General features: G+C 67.0%; 6 non-coding genes across 6 annotated transcripts; all 6 read left to right on the forward strand.

The window, feature by feature from the left end:
- Nucleotides 1–1,853: 1,853 nt before the first annotated feature.
- On the forward strand, nt 1,854–1,945 carry MIR6724-1 (microRNA 6724-1). The gene has a single exon (NR_106782.1). It is a non-coding gene; the product is annotated as a microRNA 6724-1 (primary transcript).
- Nucleotides 1,946–2,526: 581 nt separating this feature from the next.
- On the forward strand, nt 2,527–15,841 carry RNA45SN2 (RNA, 45S pre-ribosomal N2). Its single transcript, NR_146144.1, has one exon. It is a non-coding gene; the product is annotated as an RNA, 45S pre-ribosomal N2 (ribosomal RNA).
- On the forward strand, nt 5,012–5,191 carry MIR3648-1 (microRNA 3648-1). The gene has a single exon (NR_037421.1). It is a non-coding gene; the product is annotated as a microRNA 3648-1 (primary transcript).
- RNA18SN2 (RNA, 18S ribosomal N2) lies at nt 6,170–8,038 on the forward strand. Its single transcript, NR_146146.1, has one exon. It is a non-coding gene; the product is annotated as an RNA, 18S ribosomal RNA N2 (ribosomal RNA).
- RNA5-8SN2 (RNA, 5.8S ribosomal N2) lies at nt 9,110–9,266 on the forward strand. The gene has a single exon (NR_146147.1). It is a non-coding gene; the product is annotated as an RNA, 5.8S ribosomal RNA N2 (ribosomal RNA).
- On the forward strand, nt 10,427–15,480 carry RNA28SN2 (RNA, 28S ribosomal N2). Its single transcript, NR_146148.1, has one exon. It is a non-coding gene; the product is annotated as an RNA, 28S ribosomal RNA N2 (ribosomal RNA).
- Nucleotides 15,842–20,624: the final 4,783 nt, after the last annotated feature.

Below are 20,624 nucleotides of genomic sequence, written 5' to 3' on the forward strand. Positions count from 1 at the left end.
TTCTTGCTTTCTTGCTTGCTTGCTTTCGTGCTTTCTTGTTTTCTTGCTTTCTTTCTTTTGTTTCTTTCTTGCTTGCTTTCTTGCTTCCTTGTTTTCTTGCTTTCTTGCTTGCTTGCTTTCGTGCTTTCTTGCTTTCTTTTCTTTCTTTCTTTTCTTTTTCTTTCTTTCTTTCTTTCTTGCTTTCTTTTCTTTCATTCATTCCTTCTTTCTTTTCTTTCTTTCTTCCTTCCTTCCTTCCTTCCTTCCTTTCTTTCTTTCTTTCTGTTTCGTCCTTTTGAGACAGAGTTTCACTCTTGTTTCCACGGCTAGAGTGCAATGGCGCGGTCTTGGCTCACCGCACCTTCCGCCTCCCGGGTTCGAGCGCTTCTCCTGCCTCAGCCTCCCGATTAGCGGGGATTACAGGGAGGCACCCCCACGCCTGGCTTGGCTGATGTTTGTGTTTTTAGTAGGCACGCCGTGTCTCTCCATGTTGCTCAGGCTGGTCTCCAACTCCCGACCTCCTGTGATGCGCCCACCTCGGCCTCTCGAAGTGCTGGGATGACGGGCGTGAGCCACCGTGCCCGGCCTGTTGACTCATTTCGCTTTTTTATTTCTTTCGTTTCCACGCGTTTACTTATATGTATTAATGTAAACGTTTCTGTACGCTTATATGCAAACAACGACAACGTGTATCTCTGCATTGAATACTCTTGCGTATGGTAAATACGTATCGGTTGTATGGAAATAGACTTCTGTATGATAGATGTAGGTGTCTGTGTTATACAAATAAATACACATCGCTCTATAAAGAAGGGATCGTCGATAAAGACGTTTATTTTACGTATGAAAAGCGTCGTATTTATGTGTGTAAATGAACGAGCGTACGTAGTTATCTCTGTTTTCTTTCTTCCTCTCCTTCGTGTTTTTCTTCCTTCCTTTCTTCCTTTCTCTCCTTCTTTAGGTTTTTCTTCCTCTCTTCCTTTCCTTCTTTCTCTCTTTCTGTCCTTTTTTCCTTCGTGCTTTATTTCTCTTTCGTTCCCTGTGTTTCCTTCTTTTTTCTTTCCTCTCTGTTTCTTTTTCCCTTCTTTCCTTCGTTTCTTTCCTCATTCTTTCTCTCTTTTTCGTGTTTCTTTCCTTCCCGTCTGTCTTTTAAAAAATGGAGTGTTTCAGAAGTTTACTTTGTGTATCTACGTTTTCTAAATTGTCTCTCTTTTCTCCATTGTCTTCCTCCCTCCCTCCCTCCCTCCCTCCCTGCTCCCTTCCCTCCCTCCTTCCCTTTCGCCATCTGTCTCTTTTCCCCACTCCCCTCCCCCCGTCTGTCTCTGCGTGGATTCCGGAAGAGCCTACGCATTCTGCCTCTCCGTGTGTCTGCAGCGACCCGCGACCGAGTCCTTGTGTGTTCTTTCTCCCTCCCTCCCTCCCTCCCTCCCTCCCTCCCTGCTTCCGAGAGGCATCTCCAAACACCCACGCGCCGTGGGTTGTCTTCTGACTCTGTCGCGGTCGAGGCAGAGACGCGTTTTGGGCACCGTTTGTGTGGGGTTGGGGCAGAGGGGCTGCGTTTTCGGCCTCGGGAAGAGCTTCTCGACTCACGGTTTCGCTTTCGCGGTCCACGGGCCGCCCTGCCAGCCGGATCTGTCTCGCTGACGTCCGCGGCGGTTGTCGGGCTCCATCTGGCGGCCGCTTTGAGATCGTGCTCTCGGCTTCCGGAGCTGCGGTGGCAGCTGCCGAGGGAGGGGACCGTCCCCGCTGTGAGCTAGGCAGAGCTCCGGAAAGCCCGCGGTCGTCAGCCCGGCTGGCCCGGTGGCGCCAGAGCTGTGGCGCGTCGCTTGTGAGTCACAGCTCTGGCGTGCAGGTTTATGTGGGGGAGAGGCTGTCGCTGCGCTTCTGGGCCCGCGGCGGGCGTGGGGCTGCCCGGGCCGGTCGACCAGCGCGCCGTAGCTCCCGAGGCCCGAGCCGCGACCCGCGGGGACCCGCCGCGCGTGGCGCGGGAGGCTGGGGACGCCCTTCCCGGCCCGGTCGCGGGTCCGCGCTCATCCTGGCCGTCTGAGGCGGCGGCCGAATTCGTTTCCGAGTCCCCGTGGGGAGCCGGGGACCGTCCCGCCCCCGTCCCCCGGGTGCCGGGGAGCGGTCCCTCTGCCGCGATCCTTTCTGGCGAGTCCCCGTGCGGAGTCGGAGAGCGCTCCCTGAGCGCGCGTGCGGCCCGAGAGGTCGCGCCTGGCCGGCCTTCGGTCCCTCGTGTGTCCCGGTCGTAGGAGGGGCCGGCCGAAAATGCTTCCGGCTCCCGCTCTGGAGACACGGGCCGGCCCCCTGCGTGTGGCACGGGCGGCCGGGAGGGCGTCCCCGGCCCGGCGCTGCTCCCGCGTGTGTCCTGGGGTTGACCAGAGGGCCCCGGGCGCTCCGTGTGTGGCTGCGATGGTGGCGTTTTTGGGGACAGGTGTCCGTGTCGCGCGTCGCCTGGGCCGGCGGCGTGGTCGGTGACGCGACCTCCCGGCCCCGGGGGAGGTATATCTTTCGCTCCGAGTCGGCATTTTGGGCCGCCGGGTTATTGCTGACACGCTGTCCTCTGGCGACCTGTCGCTGGAGAGGTTGGGCCTCCGGATGCGCGCGGGGCTCTGGCCTACCGGTGACCCGGCTAGCCGGCCGCGCTCCTGCTTGAGCCGCCTGCCGGGGCCCGCGGGCCTGCTGTTCTCTCGCGCGTCCGAGCGTCCCGACTCCCGGTGCCGGCCCGGGTCCGGGTCTCTGACCCACCCGGGGGCGGCGGGGAAGGCGGCGAGGGCCACCGTGCCCCCGTGCGCTCTCCGCTGCGGGCGCCCGGGGCGGCCGCGACAACCCCACCCCGCTGGCTCCGTGCCGTGCGTGTCAGGCGTTCTCGTCTCCGCGGGGTTGTCCGCCGCCCCTTCCCCGGAGTGGGGGGTTGGCCGGAGCCGATCGGCTCGCTGGCCGGCCGGCCGGCCTCCGCTCCCGGGGGGCTCTTCGTGATCGATGTGGTGACGTCGTGCTCTCCCGGGCCGGGTCCGAGCCGCGACGGGCGAGGGGCGGACGTTCGTGGCGAACGGGACCGTCCTTCTCGCTCCGCCCCGCGGGGGTCCCCTCGTCTCTCCTCTCCCCGCCCGCCGGCGGTGCGTGTGGGAAGGCGTGGGGTGCGGACCCCGGCCCGACCTCGCCGTCCCGCCCGCCGCCTTCTGCGTCGCGGGTGCGGGCCGGCGGGGTCCTCTGACGCGGCAGACAGCCCTCGCTGTCGCCTCCAGTGGTTGTCGACTTGCGGGCGGCCCCCCTCCGCGGCGGTGGGGGTGCCGTCCCGCCGGCCCGTCGTGCTGCCCTCTCGGGGGGTTTGCGCGAGCGTCGGCTCCGCCTGGGCCCTTGCGGTGCTCCTGGAGCGCTCCGGGTTGTCCCTCAGGTGCCCGAGGCCGAACGGTGGTGTGTCGTTCCCGCCCCCGGCGCCCCCTCCTCCGGTCGCCGCCGCGGTGTCCGCGCGTGGGTCCTGAGGGAGCTCGTCGGTGTGGGGTTCGGGGCGGTTTGAGTGAGACGAGACGAGACGCGCCCCTCCCACGCGGGGAAGGGCGCCCGCCTGCTCTCGGTGAGCGCACGTCCCGTGCTCCCCTCTGGCGGGTGCGCGCGGGCCGTGTGAGCGATCGCGGTGGGTTCGGGCCGGTGTGACGCGTGCGCCGGCCGGCCGCCGAGGGGCTGCCGTTCTGCCTCCGACCGGTCGTGTGTGGGTTGACTTCGGAGGCGCTCTGCCTCGGAAGGAAGGAGGTGGGTGGACGGGGGGGCCTGGTGGGGTTGCGCGCACGCGCGCACCGGCCGGGCCCCCGCCCTGAACGCGAACGCTCGAGGTGGCCGCGCGCAGGTGTTTCCTCGTACCGCAGGGCCCCCTCCCTTCCCCAGGCGTCCCTCGGCGCCTCTGCGGGCCCGAGGAGGAGCGGCTGGCGGGTGGGGGGAGTGTGACCCACCCTCGGTGAGAAAAGCCTTCTCTAGCGATCTGAGAGGCGTGCCTTGGGGGTACCGGATCCCCCGGGCCGCCGCCTCTGTCTCTGCCTCCGTTATGGTAGCGCTGCCGTAGCGACCCGCTCGCAGAGGACCCTCCTCCGCTTCCCCCTCGACGGGGTTGGGGGGGAGAAGCGAGGGTTCCGCCGGCCACCGCGGTGGTGGCCGAGTGCGGCTCGTCGCCTACTGTGGCCCGCGCCTCCCCCTTCCGAGTCGGGGGAGGATCCCGCCGGGCCGGGCCCGGCGTCCCAGCGGGTTGGGACGCGGCGGCCGGCGGGCGGTGGGTGTGCGCGCCCGGCGCTCTGTCCGGCGCGTGACTCCCTCCGCCGCGAGTCGGCTCTCCGCCCGCTCCCGTGCCGAGTCGTGACCGGTGCCGACGACCGCGTTTGCGTGGCACGGGGTCGGGCCCGCCTGGCCCTGGGAAAGCGTCCCACGGTGGGGGCGCGCCGGTCTCCCGGAGCGGGACCGGGTCGGAGGATGGACGAGAATCACGAGCGACGGTGGTGGTGGCGTGTCGGGTTCGTGGCTGCGGTCGCTCCGGGGCCCCCGGTGGCGGGGCCCCGGGGCTCGCGAGGCGGTTCTCGGTGGGGGCCGAGGGCCGTCCGGCGTCCCAGGCGGGGCGCCGCGGGACCGCCCTCGTGTCTGTGGCGGTGGGATCCCGCGGCCGTGTTTTCCTGGTGGCCCGGCCGTGCCTGAGGTTTCTCCCGGAGCCGCCGCCTCTGCGGGCTCCCGGGTGCCCTTGCCCTCGCGGTCCCCGGCCCTCGCCCGTCTGTGCCCTCTTCCCCGCCCGCCGCCCGCCGATCCTCTTCTTCCCCCCGAGCGGCTCACCGGCTTCACGTCCGTTGGTGGCCCCGCCTGGGACCGAACCCGGCACCGCCTCGTGGGGCGCCGCCGCCGGCCACTGATCGGCCCGGCGTCCGCGTCCCCCGGCGCGCGCCTTGGGGACCGGGTCGGTGGCGCCCCGCGTGGGGCCCGGTGGGCTTCCCGGAGGGTTCCGGGGGTCGGCCTGCGGCGCGTGCGGGGGAGGAGACGGTTCCGGGGGACCGGCCGCGACTGCGGCGGCGGTGGTGGGGGGAGCCGCGGGGATCGCCGAGGGCCGGTCGGCCGCCCCGGGTGCCGCGCGGTGCCGCCGGCGGCGGTGAGGCCCCGCGCGTGTGTCCCGGCTGCGGTCGGCCGCGCTCGAGGGGTCCCCGTGGCGTCCCCTTCCCCGCCGGCCGCCTTTCTCGCGCCTTCCCCGTCGCCCCGGCCTCGCCCGTGGTCTCTCGTCTTCTCCCGGCCCGCTCTTCCGAACCGGGTCGGCGCGTCCCCCGGGTGCGCCTCGCTTCCCGGGCCTGCCGCGGCCCTTCCCCGAGGCGTCCGTCCCGGGCGTCGGCGTCGGGGAGAGCCCGTCCTCCCCGCGTGGCGTCGCCCCGTTCGGCGCGCGCGTGCGCCCGAGCGCGGCCCGGTGGTCCCTCCCGGACAGGCGTTCGTGCGACGTGTGGCGTGGGTCGACCTCCGCCTTGCCGGTCGCTCGCCCTCTCCCCGGGTCGGGGGGTGGGGCCCGGGCCGGGGCCTCGGCCCCGGTCGCGGTCCCCCGTCCCGGGCGGGGGCGGGCGCGCCGGCCGGCCTCGGTCGCCCTCCCTTGGCCGTCGTGTGGCGTGTGCCACCCCTGCGCCCGCGCCCGCCGGCGGGGCTCGGAGCCGGGCTTCGGCCGGCCCCGGGCCCTCGACCGGACCGGTGCGCGGGCGCTGCGGCCGCACGGCGCGACTGTCCCCGGGCCGGGCACCGCGGTCCGCCTCTCGCTCGCCGCCCGGACGTCGGGGCGCCGCGGGGCGGCGGAGCGCCGTCCCCGCCTCGCGCGCCCGCGGGCGCCGGGGCGCGCGCGCGTGGCCGCCGGTCCCTCCCGGCCGCCGGGCGCGGGTCGGGCCGTCCGCCTCCTCGCGGGCGGGCCGACGAAGAAGCGTCGCGGGTCTGTGGCGCGGGGCCCCGGTGGTCGTGTCGCGTGGGGGGCGGGTGGTTGGGGCGTCCGGTTCCCGCGCCCCGCCCCGGCCCCACCGGTCCCGGCCGCCGCCCCCGCGCCCGCTCGCTCCCTCCCGTCCGCCCGTCCGCGGCCCGTCCGTCCGTCCGTCCGTCGTCCTCCTCGCTTGCGGGGCGCCGGGCCCGTCCTCGCGAGGCCCCCCGGCCGGCCGTCCGGCCGCGTCGGGGCCTCGCCGCGCTCTACCTTACCTACCTGGTTGATCCTGCCAGTAGCATATGCTTGTCTCAAAGATTAAGCCATGCATGTCTAAGTACGCACGGCCGGTACAGTGAAACTGCGAATGGCTCATTAAATCAGTTATGGTTCCTTTGGTCGCTCGCTCCTCTCCTACTTGGATAACTGTGGTAATTCTAGAGCTAATACATGCCGACGGGCGCTGACCCCCTTCGCGGGGGGGATGCGTGCATTTATCAGATCAAAACCAACCCGGTCAGCCCCTCTCCGGCCCCGGCCGGGGGGCGGGCGCCGGCGGCTTTGGTGACTCTAGATAACCTCGGGCCGATCGCACGCCCCCCGTGGCGGCGACGACCCATTCGAACGTCTGCCCTATCAACTTTCGATGGTAGTCGCCGTGCCTACCATGGTGACCACGGGTGACGGGGAATCAGGGTTCGATTCCGGAGAGGGAGCCTGAGAAACGGCTACCACATCCAAGGAAGGCAGCAGGCGCGCAAATTACCCACTCCCGACCCGGGGAGGTAGTGACGAAAAATAACAATACAGGACTCTTTCGAGGCCCTGTAATTGGAATGAGTCCACTTTAAATCCTTTAACGAGGATCCATTGGAGGGCAAGTCTGGTGCCAGCAGCCGCGGTAATTCCAGCTCCAATAGCGTATATTAAAGTTGCTGCAGTTAAAAAGCTCGTAGTTGGATCTTGGGAGCGGGCGGGCGGTCCGCCGCGAGGCGAGCCACCGCCCGTCCCCGCCCCTTGCCTCTCGGCGCCCCCTCGATGCTCTTAGCTGAGTGTCCCGCGGGGCCCGAAGCGTTTACTTTGAAAAAATTAGAGTGTTCAAAGCAGGCCCGAGCCGCCTGGATACCGCAGCTAGGAATAATGGAATAGGACCGCGGTTCTATTTTGTTGGTTTTCGGAACTGAGGCCATGATTAAGAGGGACGGCCGGGGGCATTCGTATTGCGCCGCTAGAGGTGAAATTCTTGGACCGGCGCAAGACGGACCAGAGCGAAAGCATTTGCCAAGAATGTTTTCATTAATCAAGAACGAAAGTCGGAGGTTCGAAGACGATCAGATACCGTCGTAGTTCCGACCATAAACGATGCCGACCGGCGATGCGGCGGCGTTATTCCCATGACCCGCCGGGCAGCTTCCGGGAAACCAAAGTCTTTGGGTTCCGGGGGGAGTATGGTTGCAAAGCTGAAACTTAAAGGAATTGACGGAAGGGCACCACCAGGAGTGGAGCCTGCGGCTTAATTTGACTCAACACGGGAAACCTCACCCGGCCCGGACACGGACAGGATTGACAGATTGATAGCTCTTTCTCGATTCCGTGGGTGGTGGTGCATGGCCGTTCTTAGTTGGTGGAGCGATTTGTCTGGTTAATTCCGATAACGAACGAGACTCTGGCATGCTAACTAGTTACGCGACCCCCGAGCGGTCGGCGTCCCCCAACTTCTTAGAGGGACAAGTGGCGTTCAGCCACCCGAGATTGAGCAATAACAGGTCTGTGATGCCCTTAGATGTCCGGGGCTGCACGCGCGCTACACTGACTGGCTCAGCGTGTGCCTACCCTACGCCGGCAGGCGCGGGTAACCCGTTGAACCCCATTCGTGATGGGGATCGGGGATTGCAATTATTCCCCATGAACGAGGAATTCCCAGTAAGTGCGGGTCATAAGCTTGCGTTGATTAAGTCCCTGCCCTTTGTACACACCGCCCGTCGCTACTACCGATTGGATGGTTTAGTGAGGCCCTCGGATCGGCCCCGCCGGGGTCGGCCCACGGCCCTGGCGGAGCGCTGAGAAGACGGTCGAACTTGACTATCTAGAGGAAGTAAAAGTCGTAACAAGGTTTCCGTAGGTGAACCTGCGGAAGGATCATTAACGGAGCCCGGAGGGCGAGGCCCGCGGCGGCGCCGCCGCCGCGCGCTTCCCTCCGCACACCCACCCCCCCACCGCGACGCGGCGCGTGCGCGGGCGGGGCCCGCGTGCCCGTTCGTTCGCTCGCTCGTTCGTTCGCCGCCCGGCCCCGCCGGCCGCGAGAGCCGGAGAACTCGGGAGGGAGACGGGGGAGAGAGAGAGAGAGAGAGAAAGAGAAAGAAGGGCGTGTCGTTGGTGTGCGCGTGTCGTGGGGCCGGCGGGCGGCGGGGAGCGGTCCCCGGCAGCGGCCCCGACGGCGTGGGTGTCGGCGGGCGCGGGGGCGGTTCTCGGCGGCGTCGCGGCGGGTCTGGGGGTCTCGGTGCCCTCCTCCCCGCCGGGGCCCGTCGTCCGGCCCCGCCGCGCCGGCTCCCCGTCTTCGGGGCCGGCCGGATTCCCGTCGCCTCCGCCGCGCCGCTCCGCGCCGCCGGGCACGGCCCCGCTCGCTCTCCCCGGCCTTCCCGCTAGGGCGTCTCGAGGGTCGGGGGCCGGACGCCGGTCCCCTCCCCCGCCTCCTCGTCCGCCCCCCCGCCGTCCAGGTACCTAGCGCGTTCCGGCGCGGAGGTTTAAAGACCCCTTGGGGGGATCGCCCGTCCGCCCGTGGGTCGGGGGCGGTGGTGGGCCCGCGGGGGAGTCCCGTCGGGAGGGGCCCGGCCCCTCCCGCGCCTCCACCGCGGACTCCGCTCCCCGGCCGGGGCCGCGCCGCCGCCGCCGCCGCGGCGGCCGTCGGGTGGGGGCTTTACCCGGCGGCCGTCGCGCGCCTGCCGCGCGTGTGGCGTGCGCCCCGCGCCGTGGGGGCGGGAACCCCCGGGCGCCTGTGGGGTGGTGTCCGCGCTCGCCCCCGCGTGGGCGGCGCGCGCCTCCCCGTGGTGTGAAACCTTCCGACCCCTCTCCGGAGTCCGGTCCCGTTTGCTGTCTCGTCTGGCCGGCCTGAGGCAACCCCCTCTCCTCTTGGGGGGGGGCGGGGGGACGTGCCGCGCCAGGAAGGGCCTCCTCCCGGTGCGTCGTCGGGAGCGCCCTCGCCAAATCGACCTCGTACGACTCTTAGCGGTGGATCACTCGGCTCGTGCGTCGATGAAGAACGCAGCTAGCTGCGAGAATTAATGTGAATTGCAGGACACATTGATCATCGACACTTCGAACGCACTTGCGGCCCCGGGTTCCTCCCGGGGCTACGCCTGTCTGAGCGTCGCTTGCCGATCAATCGCCCCCGGGGGTGCCTCCGGGCTCCTCGGGGTGCGCGGCTGGGGGTTCCCTCGCAGGGCCCGCCGGGGGCCCTCCGTCCCCCTAAGCGCAGACCCGGCGGCGTCCGCCCTCCTCTTGCCGCCGCGCCCGCCCCTTCCCCCTCCCCCCGCGGGCCCTGCGTGGTCACGCGTCGGGTGGCGGGGGGGAGAGGGGGGCGCGCCCGGCTGAGAGAGACGGGGAGGGCGGCGCCGCCGCCGCCCGCGAAGACGGAGAGGGAAAGAGAGAGCCGGCTCGGGCCGAGTTCCCGTGGCCGCCGCCTGCGGTCCGGGTTCCTCCCTCGGGGGGCTCCCTCGCGCCGCGCGCGGCTCGGGGTTCGGGGTTCGTCGGCCCCGGCCGGGTGGAAGGTCCCGTGCCCGTCGTCGTCGTCGTCGCGCGTCGTCGGCGGTGGGGGCGTGTTGCGTGCGGTGTGGTGGTGGGGGAGGAGGAAGGCGGGTCCGGAAGGGGAAGGGTGCCGGCGGGGAGAGAGGGTCGGGGGAGCGCGTCCCGGTCGCCGCGGTTCGCCGCCCGCCCCCGGTGGCGGCCCGGCGTCCGGCCGACCGCCGCTCCCGCGCCCCTCCTCCTCCCCCGCCGCCCCTCCTCCGAGGCCCCGCCCGTCCTCCTCGCCCTCCCCGCGCGTACGCGCGCGCGCCCGCCCGCCCGGCTCGCCTCGCGGCGCGTCGGCCGGGGCCGGGAGCCCGCCCCGCGGCCCGCCCGGCCGCGCCCGTGGCCGCGGCGCCGGGGTTCGCGTGTCCCCGGCGGCGACCCGCGGGACGCCGCGGTGTCGTCCGCCGTCGCGCGCCCGCCTCCGGCTCGGCCGCGCCGCGCCGCGCCGGGGCCCCGTCCCGACTTCCGCGTCGGGGCGGCGGCGGCGCCGCGTCCTCGGACCCGTCCCCCCGACCTCCGCGGGGGAGACGGGTCGGGGCGTGCGGCGCCCGTCCCGCCCCCGGCCCGTGCCCCTCCCTCCGGTCGTCCCGCTCCGGCGGGGCGGCGCGGGGGTGCCCTCGGCCGCGGCTCTCTCTCCCGTCGCCTCTCCCCCTCGCCGGGCCCGTCTCCCGACGGAGCGTCGGGCGGGCGGTCGGGCCGGCGCGATTCCGTCCGTCCGTCCGCCGAGCGGCCCGTCCCCCTCCGAGACGCGACCTCAGATCAGACGTGGCGACCCGCTGAATTTAAGCATATTAGTCAGCGGAGGAAAAGAAACTAACCAGGATTCCCTCAGTAACGGCGAGTGAACAGGGAAGAGCCCAGCGCCGAATCCCCGCCCCGCGGCGGGGCGCGGGACATGTGGCGTACGGAAGACCCGCTCCCCGGCGCCGCTCGTGGGGGGCCCAAGTCCTTCTGATCGAGGCCCAGCCCGTGGACGGTGTGAGGCCGGTAGCGGCCCCCGGCGCGCCGGGCCCGGGTCTTCCCGGAGTCGGGTTGCTTGGGAATGCAGCCCAAAGCGGGTGGTAAACTCCATCTAAGGCTAAATACCGGCACGAGACCGATAGTCAACAAGTACCGTAAGGGAAAGTTGAAAAGAACTTTGAAGAGAGAGTTCAAGAGGGCGTGAAACCGTTAAGAGGTAAACGGGTGGGGTCCGCGCAGTCCGCCCGGAGGATTCAACCCGGCGGCGGGTCCGGCCGTGTCGGCGGCCCGGCGGATCTTTCCCGCCCCCCGTTCCTCCCGACCCCTCCACCCGCCCTCCCTTCCCCCGCCGCCCCTCCTCCTCCTCCCCGGAGGGGGCGGGCTCCGGCGGGTGCGGGGGTGGGCGGGCGGGGCCGGGGGTGGGGTCGGCGGGGGACCGTCCCCCGACCGGCGACCGGCCGCCGCCGGGCGCATTTCCACCGCGGCGGTGCGCCGCGACCGGCTCCGGGACGGCTGGGAAGGCCCGGCGGGGAAGGTGGCTCGGGGGGCCCCGTCCGTCCGTCCGTCCGTCCTCCTCCTCCCCCGTCTCCGCCCCCCGGCCCCGCGTCCTCCCTCGGGAGGGCGCGCGGGTCGGGGCGGCGGCGGCGGTGGCGGCGGCGGCGGCGGCGGCGGGACCGAAACCCCCCCCGAGTGTTACAGCCCCCCCGGCAGCAGCACTCGCCGAATCCCGGGGCCGAGGGAGCGAGACCCGTCGCCGCGCTCTCCCCCCTCCCGGCGCCCACCCCCGCGGGGAATCCCCCGCGAGGGGGGTCTCCCCCGCGGGGGCGCGCCGGCGTCTCCTCGTGGGGGGGCCGGGCCACCCCTCCCACGGCGCGACCGCTCTCCCACCCCTCCTCCCCGCGCCCCCGCCCCGGCGACGGGGGGGGTGCCGCGCGCGGGTCGGGGGGCGGGGCGGACTGTCCCCAGTGCGCCCCGGGCGGGTCGCGCCGTCGGGCCCGGGGGGAGGTTCTCTCGGGGCCACGCGCGCGTCCCCCGAAGAGGGGGACGGCGGAGCGAGCGCACGGGGTCGGCGGCGACGTCGGCTACCCACCCGACCCGTCTTGAAACACGGACCAAGGAGTCTAACACGTGCGCGAGTCGGGGGCTCGCACGAAAGCCGCCGTGGCGCAATGAAGGTGAAGGCCGGCGCGCTCGCCGGCCGAGGTGGGATCCCGAGGCCTCTCCAGTCCGCCGAGGGCGCACCACCGGCCCGTCTCGCCCGCCGCGCCGGGGAGGTGGAGCACGAGCGCACGTGTTAGGACCCGAAAGATGGTGAACTATGCCTGGGCAGGGCGAAGCCAGAGGAAACTCTGGTGGAGGTCCGTAGCGGTCCTGACGTGCAAATCGGTCGTCCGACCTGGGTATAGGGGCGAAAGACTAATCGAACCATCTAGTAGCTGGTTCCCTCCGAAGTTTCCCTCAGGATAGCTGGCGCTCTCGCAGACCCGACGCACCCCCGCCACGCAGTTTTATCCGGTAAAGCGAATGATTAGAGGTCTTGGGGCCGAAACGATCTCAACCTATTCTCAAACTTTAAATGGGTAAGAAGCCCGGCTCGCTGGCGTGGAGCCGGGCGTGGAATGCGAGTGCCTAGTGGGCCACTTTTGGTAAGCAGAACTGGCGCTGCGGGATGAACCGAACGCCGGGTTAAGGCGCCCGATGCCGACGCTCATCAGACCCCAGAAAAGGTGTTGGTTGATATAGACAGCAGGACGGTGGCCATGGAAGTCGGAATCCGCTAAGGAGTGTGTAACAACTCACCTGCCGAATCAACTAGCCCTGAAAATGGATGGCGCTGGAGCGTCGGGCCCATACCCGGCCGTCGCCGGCAGTCGAGAGTGGACGGGAGCGGCGGGGGCGGCGCGCGCGCGCGCGCGTGTGGTGTGCGTCGGAGGGCGGCGGCGGCGGCGGGGGTGTGTGGGGTCCTCCCCCGCCCCCCCCCCACGCCTCCTCCCCTCCTCCCGCCCACGCCCCGCTCCCCGCCCCCGGAGCCCCGCGGACGCTACGCCGCGACGAGTAGGAGGGCCGCTGCGGTGAGCCTTGAAGCCTAGGGCGCGGGCCCGGGTGGAGCCGCCGCAGGTGCAGATCTTGGTGGTAGTAGCAAATATTCAAACGAGAACTTTGAAGGCCGAAGTGGAGAAGGGTTCCATGTGAACAGCAGTTGAACATGGGTCAGTCGGTCCTGAGAGATGGGCGAGCGCCGTTCTGAAGGGACGGGCGATGGCCTCCGTTGCCCTCGGCCGATCGAAAGGGAGTCGGGTTCAGATCCCCGAATCCGGAGTGGCGGAGATGGGCGCCGCGAGGCGTCCAGTGCGGTAACGCGACCGATCCCGGAGAAGCCGGCGGGAGCCCCGGGGAGAGTTCTCTTTTCTTTGTGAAGGGCAGGGCGCCCTGGAATGGGTTCGCCCCGAGAGAGGGGCCCGTGCCTTGGAAAGCGTCGCGGTTCCGGCGGCGTCCGGTGAGCTCTCGCTGGCCCTTGAAAATCCGGGGGAGAGGGTGTAAATCTCGCGCCGGGCCGTACCCATATCCGCAGCAGGTCTCCAAGGTGAACAGCCTCTGGCATGTTGGAACAATGTAGGTAAGGGAAGTCGGCAAGCCGGATCCGTAACTTCGGGATAAGGATTGGCTCTAAGGGCTGGGTCGGTCGGGCTGGGGCGCGAAGCGGGGCTGGGCGCGCGCCGCGGCTGGACGAGGCGCCGCCGCCCCCCCCACGCCCGGGGCACCCCCCTCGCGGCCCTCCCCCGCCCCACCCCGCGCGCGCCGCTCGCTCCCTCCCCACCCCGCGCCCTCTCTCTCTCTCTCTCCCCCGCTCCCCGTCCTCCCCCCTCCCCGGGGGAGCGCCGCGTGGGGGCGGCGGCGGGGGGAGAAGGGTCGGGGCGGCAGGGGCCGGCGGCGGCCGCCGCGGGGCCCCGGCGGCGGGGGCACGGTCCCCCGCGAGGGGGGCCCGGGCACCCGGGGGGCCGGCGGCGGCGGCGACTCTGGACGCGAGCCGGGCCCTTCCCGTGGATCGCCCCAGCTGCGGCGGGCGTCGCGGCCGCCCCCGGGGAGCCCGGCGGGCGCCGGCGCGNCCCCCCCCCCACCCCACGTCTCGTCGCGCGCGCGTCCGCTGGGGGCGGGGAGCGGTCGGGCGGCGGCGGTCGGCGGGCGGCGGGGCGGGGCGGTTCGTCCCCCCGCCCTACCCCCCCGGCCCCGTCCGCCCCCCGTTCCCCCCTCCTCCTCGGCGCGCGGCGGCGGCGGCGGGCGGCGGAGGGGCCGCGGGCCGGTCCCCCCCGCCGGGTCCGCCCCCGGGGCCGCGGTTCCGCGCGGCGCCTCGCCTCGGCCGGCGCCTAGCAGCCGACTTAGAACTGGTGCGGACCAGGGGAATCCGACTGTTTAATTAAAACAAAGCATCGCGAAGGCCCGCGGCGGGTGTTGACGCGATGTGATTTCTGCCCAGTGCTCTGAATGTCAAAGTGAAGAAATTCAATGAAGCGCGGGTAAACGGCGGGAGTAACTATGACTCTCTTAAGGTAGCCAAATGCCTCGTCATCTAATTAGTGACGCGCATGAATGGATGAACGAGATTCCCACTGTCCCTACCTACTATCCAGCGAAACCACAGCCAAGGGAACGGGCTTGGCGGAATCAGCGGGGAAAGAAGACCCTGTTGAGCTTGACTCTAGTCTGGCACGGTGAAGAGACATGAGAGGTGTAGAATAAGTGGGAGGCCCCCGGCGCCCCCCCGGTGTCCCCGCGAGGGGCCCGGGGCGGGGTCCGCCGGCCCTGCGGGCCGCCGGTGAAATACCACTACTCTGATCGTTTTTTCACTGACCCGGTGAGGCGGGGGGGCGAGCCCCGAGGGGCTCTCGCTTCTGGCGCCAAGCGCCCGGCCGCGCGCCGGCCGGGCGCGACCCGCTCCGGGGACAGTGCCAGGTGGGGAGTTTGACTGGGGCGGTACACCTGTCAAACGGTAACGCAGGTGTCCTAAGGCGAGCTCAGGGAGGACAGAAACCTCCCGTGGAGCAGAAGGGCAAAAGCTCGCTTGATCTTGATTTTCAGTACGAATACAGACCGTGAAAGCGGGGCCTCACGATCCTTCTGACCTTTTGGGTTTTAAGCAGGAGGTGTCAGAAAAGTTACCACAGGGATAACTGGCTTGTGGCGGCCAAGCGTTCATAGCGACGTCGCTTTTTGATCCTTCGATGTCGGCTCTTCCTATCATTGTGAAGCAGAATTCACCAAGCGTTGGATTGTTCACCCACTAATAGGGAACGTGAGCTGGGTTTAGACCGTCGTGAGACAGGTTAGTTTTACCCTACTGATGATGTGTTGTTGCCATGGTAATCCTGCTCAGTACGAGAGGAACCGCAGGTTCAGACATTTGGTGTATGTGCTTGGCTGAGGAGCCAATGGGGCGAAGCTACCATCTGTGGGATTATGACTGAACGCCTCTAAGTCAGAATCCCGCCCAGGCGGAACGATACGGCAGCGCCGCGGAGCCTCGGTTGGCCTCGGATAGCCGGTCCCCCGCCTGTCCCCGCCGGCGGGCCGCCCCCCCCTCCACGCGCCCCGCGCGCGCGGGAGGGCGCGTGCCCCGCCGCGCGCCGGGACCGGGGTCCGGTGCGGAGTGCCCTTCGTCCTGGGAAACGGGGCGCGGCTGGAAAGGCGGCCGCCCCCTCGCCCGTCACGCACCGCACGTTCGTGGGGAACCTGGCGCTAAACCATTCGTAGACGACCTGCTTCTGGGTCGGGGTTTCGTACGTAGCAGAGCAGCTCCCTCGCTGCGATCTATTGAAAGTCAGCCCTCGACACAAGGGTTTGTCCGCGCGCGCGCGCGCGCGTGCGTGCGGGGGGCCCGGCGGGGCGTGCGCGTCCGGCGCCGTCCGTCCTTCCGTTCGTCTTCCTCCCTCCCGGCCTCTCCCGCCGACCGCGGGCGTGGTGGTGGGGGTGGGGGGGAGGGCGCGCGACCCCGGTCGGCGCGCCCCGCTTCTTCGGTTCCCGCCTCCTCCCCGTTCACCGCCGGGGCGGCTCGTCCGCTCCGGGCCGGGACGGGGTCCGGGGAGCGTGGTTTGGGAGCCGCGGAGGCGGCCGCGCCGAGCCGGGCCCGTGGCCCGCCGGTCCCCGTCCCGGGGGTTGGCCGCGCGGGCCCCGGTGGGGCGGCCACCCGGGGTCCCGGCCCTCGCGCGTCCTTCCTCCTCGCTCCTCCGCACGGGTCGACCAGCAGACCGCGGGTGGTGGGCGGCGGGCGGCGAGGCCCCACGGGGCGTCCGCGCACCCGGCCGACCTCCGCTCGTGACCTCTCCTCGGTCGGGCCTCCGGGGTCGACCGCCTGCCGCCCGCGGGCGTGAGACTCAGCCGGCGTCTCGCCGTGTCCCGGGTCGACCGGCGGGCCTTCTCCACCGAGCGGCGTGTAGGAGTGCCCGTCGGGACGAACCGCAACCGGAGCGTCCCCGTCTCGGTCGGCACCTCCGGGGTCGACCAGCTGCCGCCCGCGAGCTCCGGACTTAGCCGGCGCCTGCACGTGTCCCGGGTCGACCAGCAGGCGGCCGCCGGACGCTGCGGCGCACCGACGCGAGGGCGTCGATTCCCGTTCGCGCGCCCGCGACCTCCACCGGCCTCGGCCCGCGGTGGAGCTGGGACCACGCGGAACTCCCTCTCTCACATTTTTTTCAGCCCCACCGCGAGTTTGCGTCCGCGGGACTTTTAAGAGGGAGTCACTGCTGCCGTCAGCCAGTAATGCTTCCTCCTTTTTTGCTTTTAGGTTTTGTCTTGCCTTTTTTTTTTTTTTCTTTCTTTCTTTCTTTCTTTCTTTTTCTTTCTTTCTTTCTTTCTTTCTCGCTCTCGCTCTCTCCCTCCCTCGCTCGTTTTCTCTCTCTCTCGCTCTTGCCCTCTCGCTCTCTCCCTCGCTCGTTTTCTCTCTCTCTCTCTCTCTCTCTCTCTCTGTCTCTCGCTCTCGCCCTCTCTCTCTCTCTGTCTCTCTGTCTCTCTCTCTCTCTCTCTCTCTCTCTCTCTCTCTCTGTCGCTCTCGCCCTCTCGCTCTCTCTCTGTCTCTGTCTGTGTCTCTCTCTCTCCCTCCCTCCCTCCCTCCCTCCCTCCCTCCCTCCCTCCCTCCCTCCCCTTCCTTGGTGCCTTCTCGGCTCTTGAGACTTAGCCGCTGTCTCGCCGTGCCCCGGGTCGACCGGCGGGCCTTCTCCACCGAGCGGCGTGTAAGAGTGCCCGTCGGGACGAGCCGGACCCGCCGCGTCCCCGTCTCGGTCGGCACCTCCGGGGTCGACCAGCTGCCGCCCGCGAGCTCCGGACTTAGCCGGCGTCTGCACGTGTCCCGGGTCGACCAGCAGGCGGCCGCCGGACGCTGCGGCGCACCGACGCGAGGGCGCTGATTCCCGTTCACGCGCCCGCGACCTCCACCGGCCTCGGCCCGCCGTGGAGCTGGGACCACGCGGAACTCCCTCTCCTACATTTTTTTCAGCCCCACCGCGAGTTTGCGTCCGCGGGACTTTTAAGAGGGAGTCACTGCTGCCGTCAGCCAGTAATGCTTCCTCCTTTTTTGCTTTTAGGTTTTGTCTTGCCTTTTTTTTTTTTTTTTTTTTTTCTTTCTTTCTTTCTTTCTTTCTTTCTTTCTTTCTTTCTTTCTTTCTTTCTCGCTCTCGCTCTCTCGCTCTCTCCCTCGCTCGTTTTCTTTCTCTTTCTCTTTCTCTCTCTCTCTCTCTCTCTCTCTCTGTCTCTCGCTCTCGCCCTCTCTCTCTCTCTCTTTCTCTCTGTCTCTCTCTGTCTCTCTCTCTCTCTCTCTCTCTCTCTCTCTCTCTCTCTCTCTCTCTCTCTCTCCCTCCCCCTCCCTCCCTCTCTCCCCTTCCTTGGTGCCTTCTCGGCTCTTGACACTTAGCCGCTGTCTCGCCGTGTCCCGGGTCGACCGGCGGGCCTTCTCCACCGAGCGGCGTGTAAGAGTGCCCGTCGGGACGAGCCGGACCCGCCGCGTCCCCGTCTCGGTCGGCACCTCCGGGGTCGACCAGCTGCCGCCCGCGAGCTCCGGACTTAGCTGGCGTCTGCACGTGTCCCGGGTCGACCAGCAGGCGGCCGCCGGACGCTGCGGCGCACCGACGCGAGGGCGTCGATTCCGGTTCACGCGCCGGCGACCTCCACCGGCCTCGGCCCGCGGTGGAGCTGGGACCACGCGGAACTCCCTCTTCTACATTTTTTTCAGCCCCACTGCGAGTTTGCGTCCGCGGGACTTTTAAGAGGGAGTCACTGCTGCCGTCAGCCAGTAATGCTTCCTCCTTTTTTGCTTTTTGGTTTTGCCTTGCGTTTTCTTTCTTTCTTTCTTTCTTTCTTTCTTTCTTTCTTTTCTTTCTTTCTTTCTTTCTTTCTTTCTTTCTCTCTCTCTCTCTCTCTCTCTGTCTCTCTCCCCTCCCTCCCTCCTTGGTGCCTTCTCGGCTCGCTGCTGCTGCTGCCTCTGCCTCCACGGTTCAAGCAAACAGCAAGTTTTCTATTTCGAGTAAAGACGTAATTTCACCATTTTGGCCGGGCTGGTCTCGAACTCCCGACCTAGTGATCCGCCCGCCTCGGCCTCCCAAAGACTGCTGGGAGTACAGATGTGAGCCACCATGCCCGGCCGATTCCTTCCTTTTTTCAATCTTATTTTCTGAACGCTGCCGTGTATGAACATACATCTACACATACACACACACACACACACACACACACACACACACACACACACACACACACACACACCCCCCGTAGTGATAAAACTATGTAAATGATATTTCCATAATTAATACGTTTATATTATGTTACTTTTAATGGATGAATATGTATCGAAGCCCCATTTCATTTACATACACGTGTATGTATATCCTTCCTCCCTTCCTTCATTCATTATTTATTAATAATTTTCGTTTATTTATTTTCTTTTCTTTTGGGGCCGGCCCGCCTGGTCTTCTGTCTCTGCGCTCTGGTGACCTCAGCCTCCCAAATAGCTGGGACTACAGGGATCTCTTAAGCCCGGGAGGGAGAGGTTAACGTGGGCTGTGATCGCACACTTCCACTCCAGCTTACGTGGGCTGCGGTGGGGTGGGGTGCAGAGAAAACGATTGATTGCGATCTCAATTGCCTTTTAGCTTCATTCATACCCTGTTATTTGCTCGTTTATTCTCATGGGTTCTTCTGTGTCATTGTCACGTTCATCGTTTGCTTGCCTGCTTGCCTGTTTATTTCCTTCCTTCCTTCCTTCCTTCCTTCCTTCCTTCCTTCCCTCCTTCCTTCCTTCCTTCCCTCCCTTACTGGCAGGGTCTTCCTCTGTCTCTGCCGCCCAGGATCACCCCAACCTCAACGCTTTGGACCGACCAAACGGTCGTTCTGCCTCTGATCCCTCCCATCCCCATTACCTGAGACTACAGGCGCGCACCACCACACCGGCTGACTTTTATGTTGTTTCTCATGTTTTCCGTAGGTAGGTGTGTGTGTGTGTGTGTGTGTGTGTGTGTGTGTGTGTGTGTGTGTGTGTGTGTGTATCTATGTATGTACGTATGTATGTATGTATGTGAGTGAGATGGGTTTCGGGGTTCTATCATGTTGCCCACGCTGGTCTCGAACTCCTGTCCTCAAGCAATCCGCCTGCCTGCCTCGGCCGCCCACACTGCTGCTATTACAGGCGTGAGACGCTGCGCCTGGCTCCTTCTACATTTGCCTGCCTGCCTGCCTGCCTGCCTGCCTGCCTGCCTGCCTGCCTGCCTGCCTGCCTATCAATCGTCTTCTTTTTAGTACGGATGTGCTCTCGCTTTATTGTCCATGCTCTGGGCACACGTGGTCTCTTTTCAAACTTCTATGATTATTATTATTGTAGGCGTCATCTCACGTGTCGAGGTGATCTCGAACTTTTAGGCTCCAGAGATCCTCCCGCATCGGCCTCCCGGAGTGCTGTGATGACACGCGTGGGCACGGTACGCTCTGGTCGTGTTTGTCGTGGGTCGGTTCTTTCCGTTTTTAATACGGGGACTGCGAACGAAGAAAATTTCCAGACGCATCTCACCGATCCGCCTTTTCGTTCTTTCTTTTTATTCTCTTTAGACGGAGTTTCACTCTTGTCGCCCAGGGTGGAGTACGATGGCGGCTCTCGGCTCACCGCACCCTCCGCCTCCCAGGTTCAAGTGATTCTCCTGCCTCAGCCTTCCCGAGTAGCTGGAATGACAGAGATGAGCCATCGTGCCCGGCTAATTTTTCTATTTTTACTACAGATGGGGTTTCTCCATCTTGGTCAGGCTGGTCTTCAACTTCCGACCGTTGGAGAATCTTAACTTTCTTGGTGGTGGTTGTTTTCCTTTTTCTTTTTTTTCTTTTCTTTTCTTTCCTTCTCCTCCCCCCCCACCCCCCCTTGTCGTCGTCCTCCTCCTCCTCCTCCTCCTCCTCCTCCTCCTCCTCCTCCTCCTCCTCTTTCATTTCTTTCAGCTGGGCTCTCCTACGTGTGTTGCTCTGTTGCTCACGCTGGTCTCAAACTCCTGGCCTTGACGCTTCTCCCGTCACATCCGCCGTCTGGTTGTTGAAATGAGCATCTCTCGTAAAATGGAAAAGATGAAAGAAATAAACACGAAGACGGAAAGCACGGTGTGAACGTTTCTCTTGCCGTCTCCCGGGGTGTACCTTGGACCCGGAAACACGGAGGGAGCTTGGCTGAGTGGGTTTTCGGTGCCGAAACCTCCCGAGGGCCTCCTTCCCTCTCCCCCTTGTCCCCGCTTCTCCCCCAGCCGAGGCTCCCACCGCCGCCCTGGCATTTTCCATAGGAGAGGTATGGGAGAGGACTGACACGCCTTCCAGATCTATATCCTGCCGGACGTCTCTGGCTCGGCGTGCCCCACCGGCTACCTGCCACCTTCCAGGGAGCTCTGAGGCGGATGCGACCCCCACCCCCCCGTCACGTCCCGCTACCCTCCCCCGGCTGGCCTTTGCCGGGCGACCCCAGGGGAACCGCGTT

This window comes from Homo sapiens, chromosome 21 (genome assembly GCF_000001405.40).
Source record: "Homo sapiens chromosome 21, GRCh38.p14 Primary Assembly".
Taxonomy (NCBI): Eukaryota; Metazoa; Chordata; class Mammalia; order Primates; family Hominidae; genus Homo; species Homo sapiens.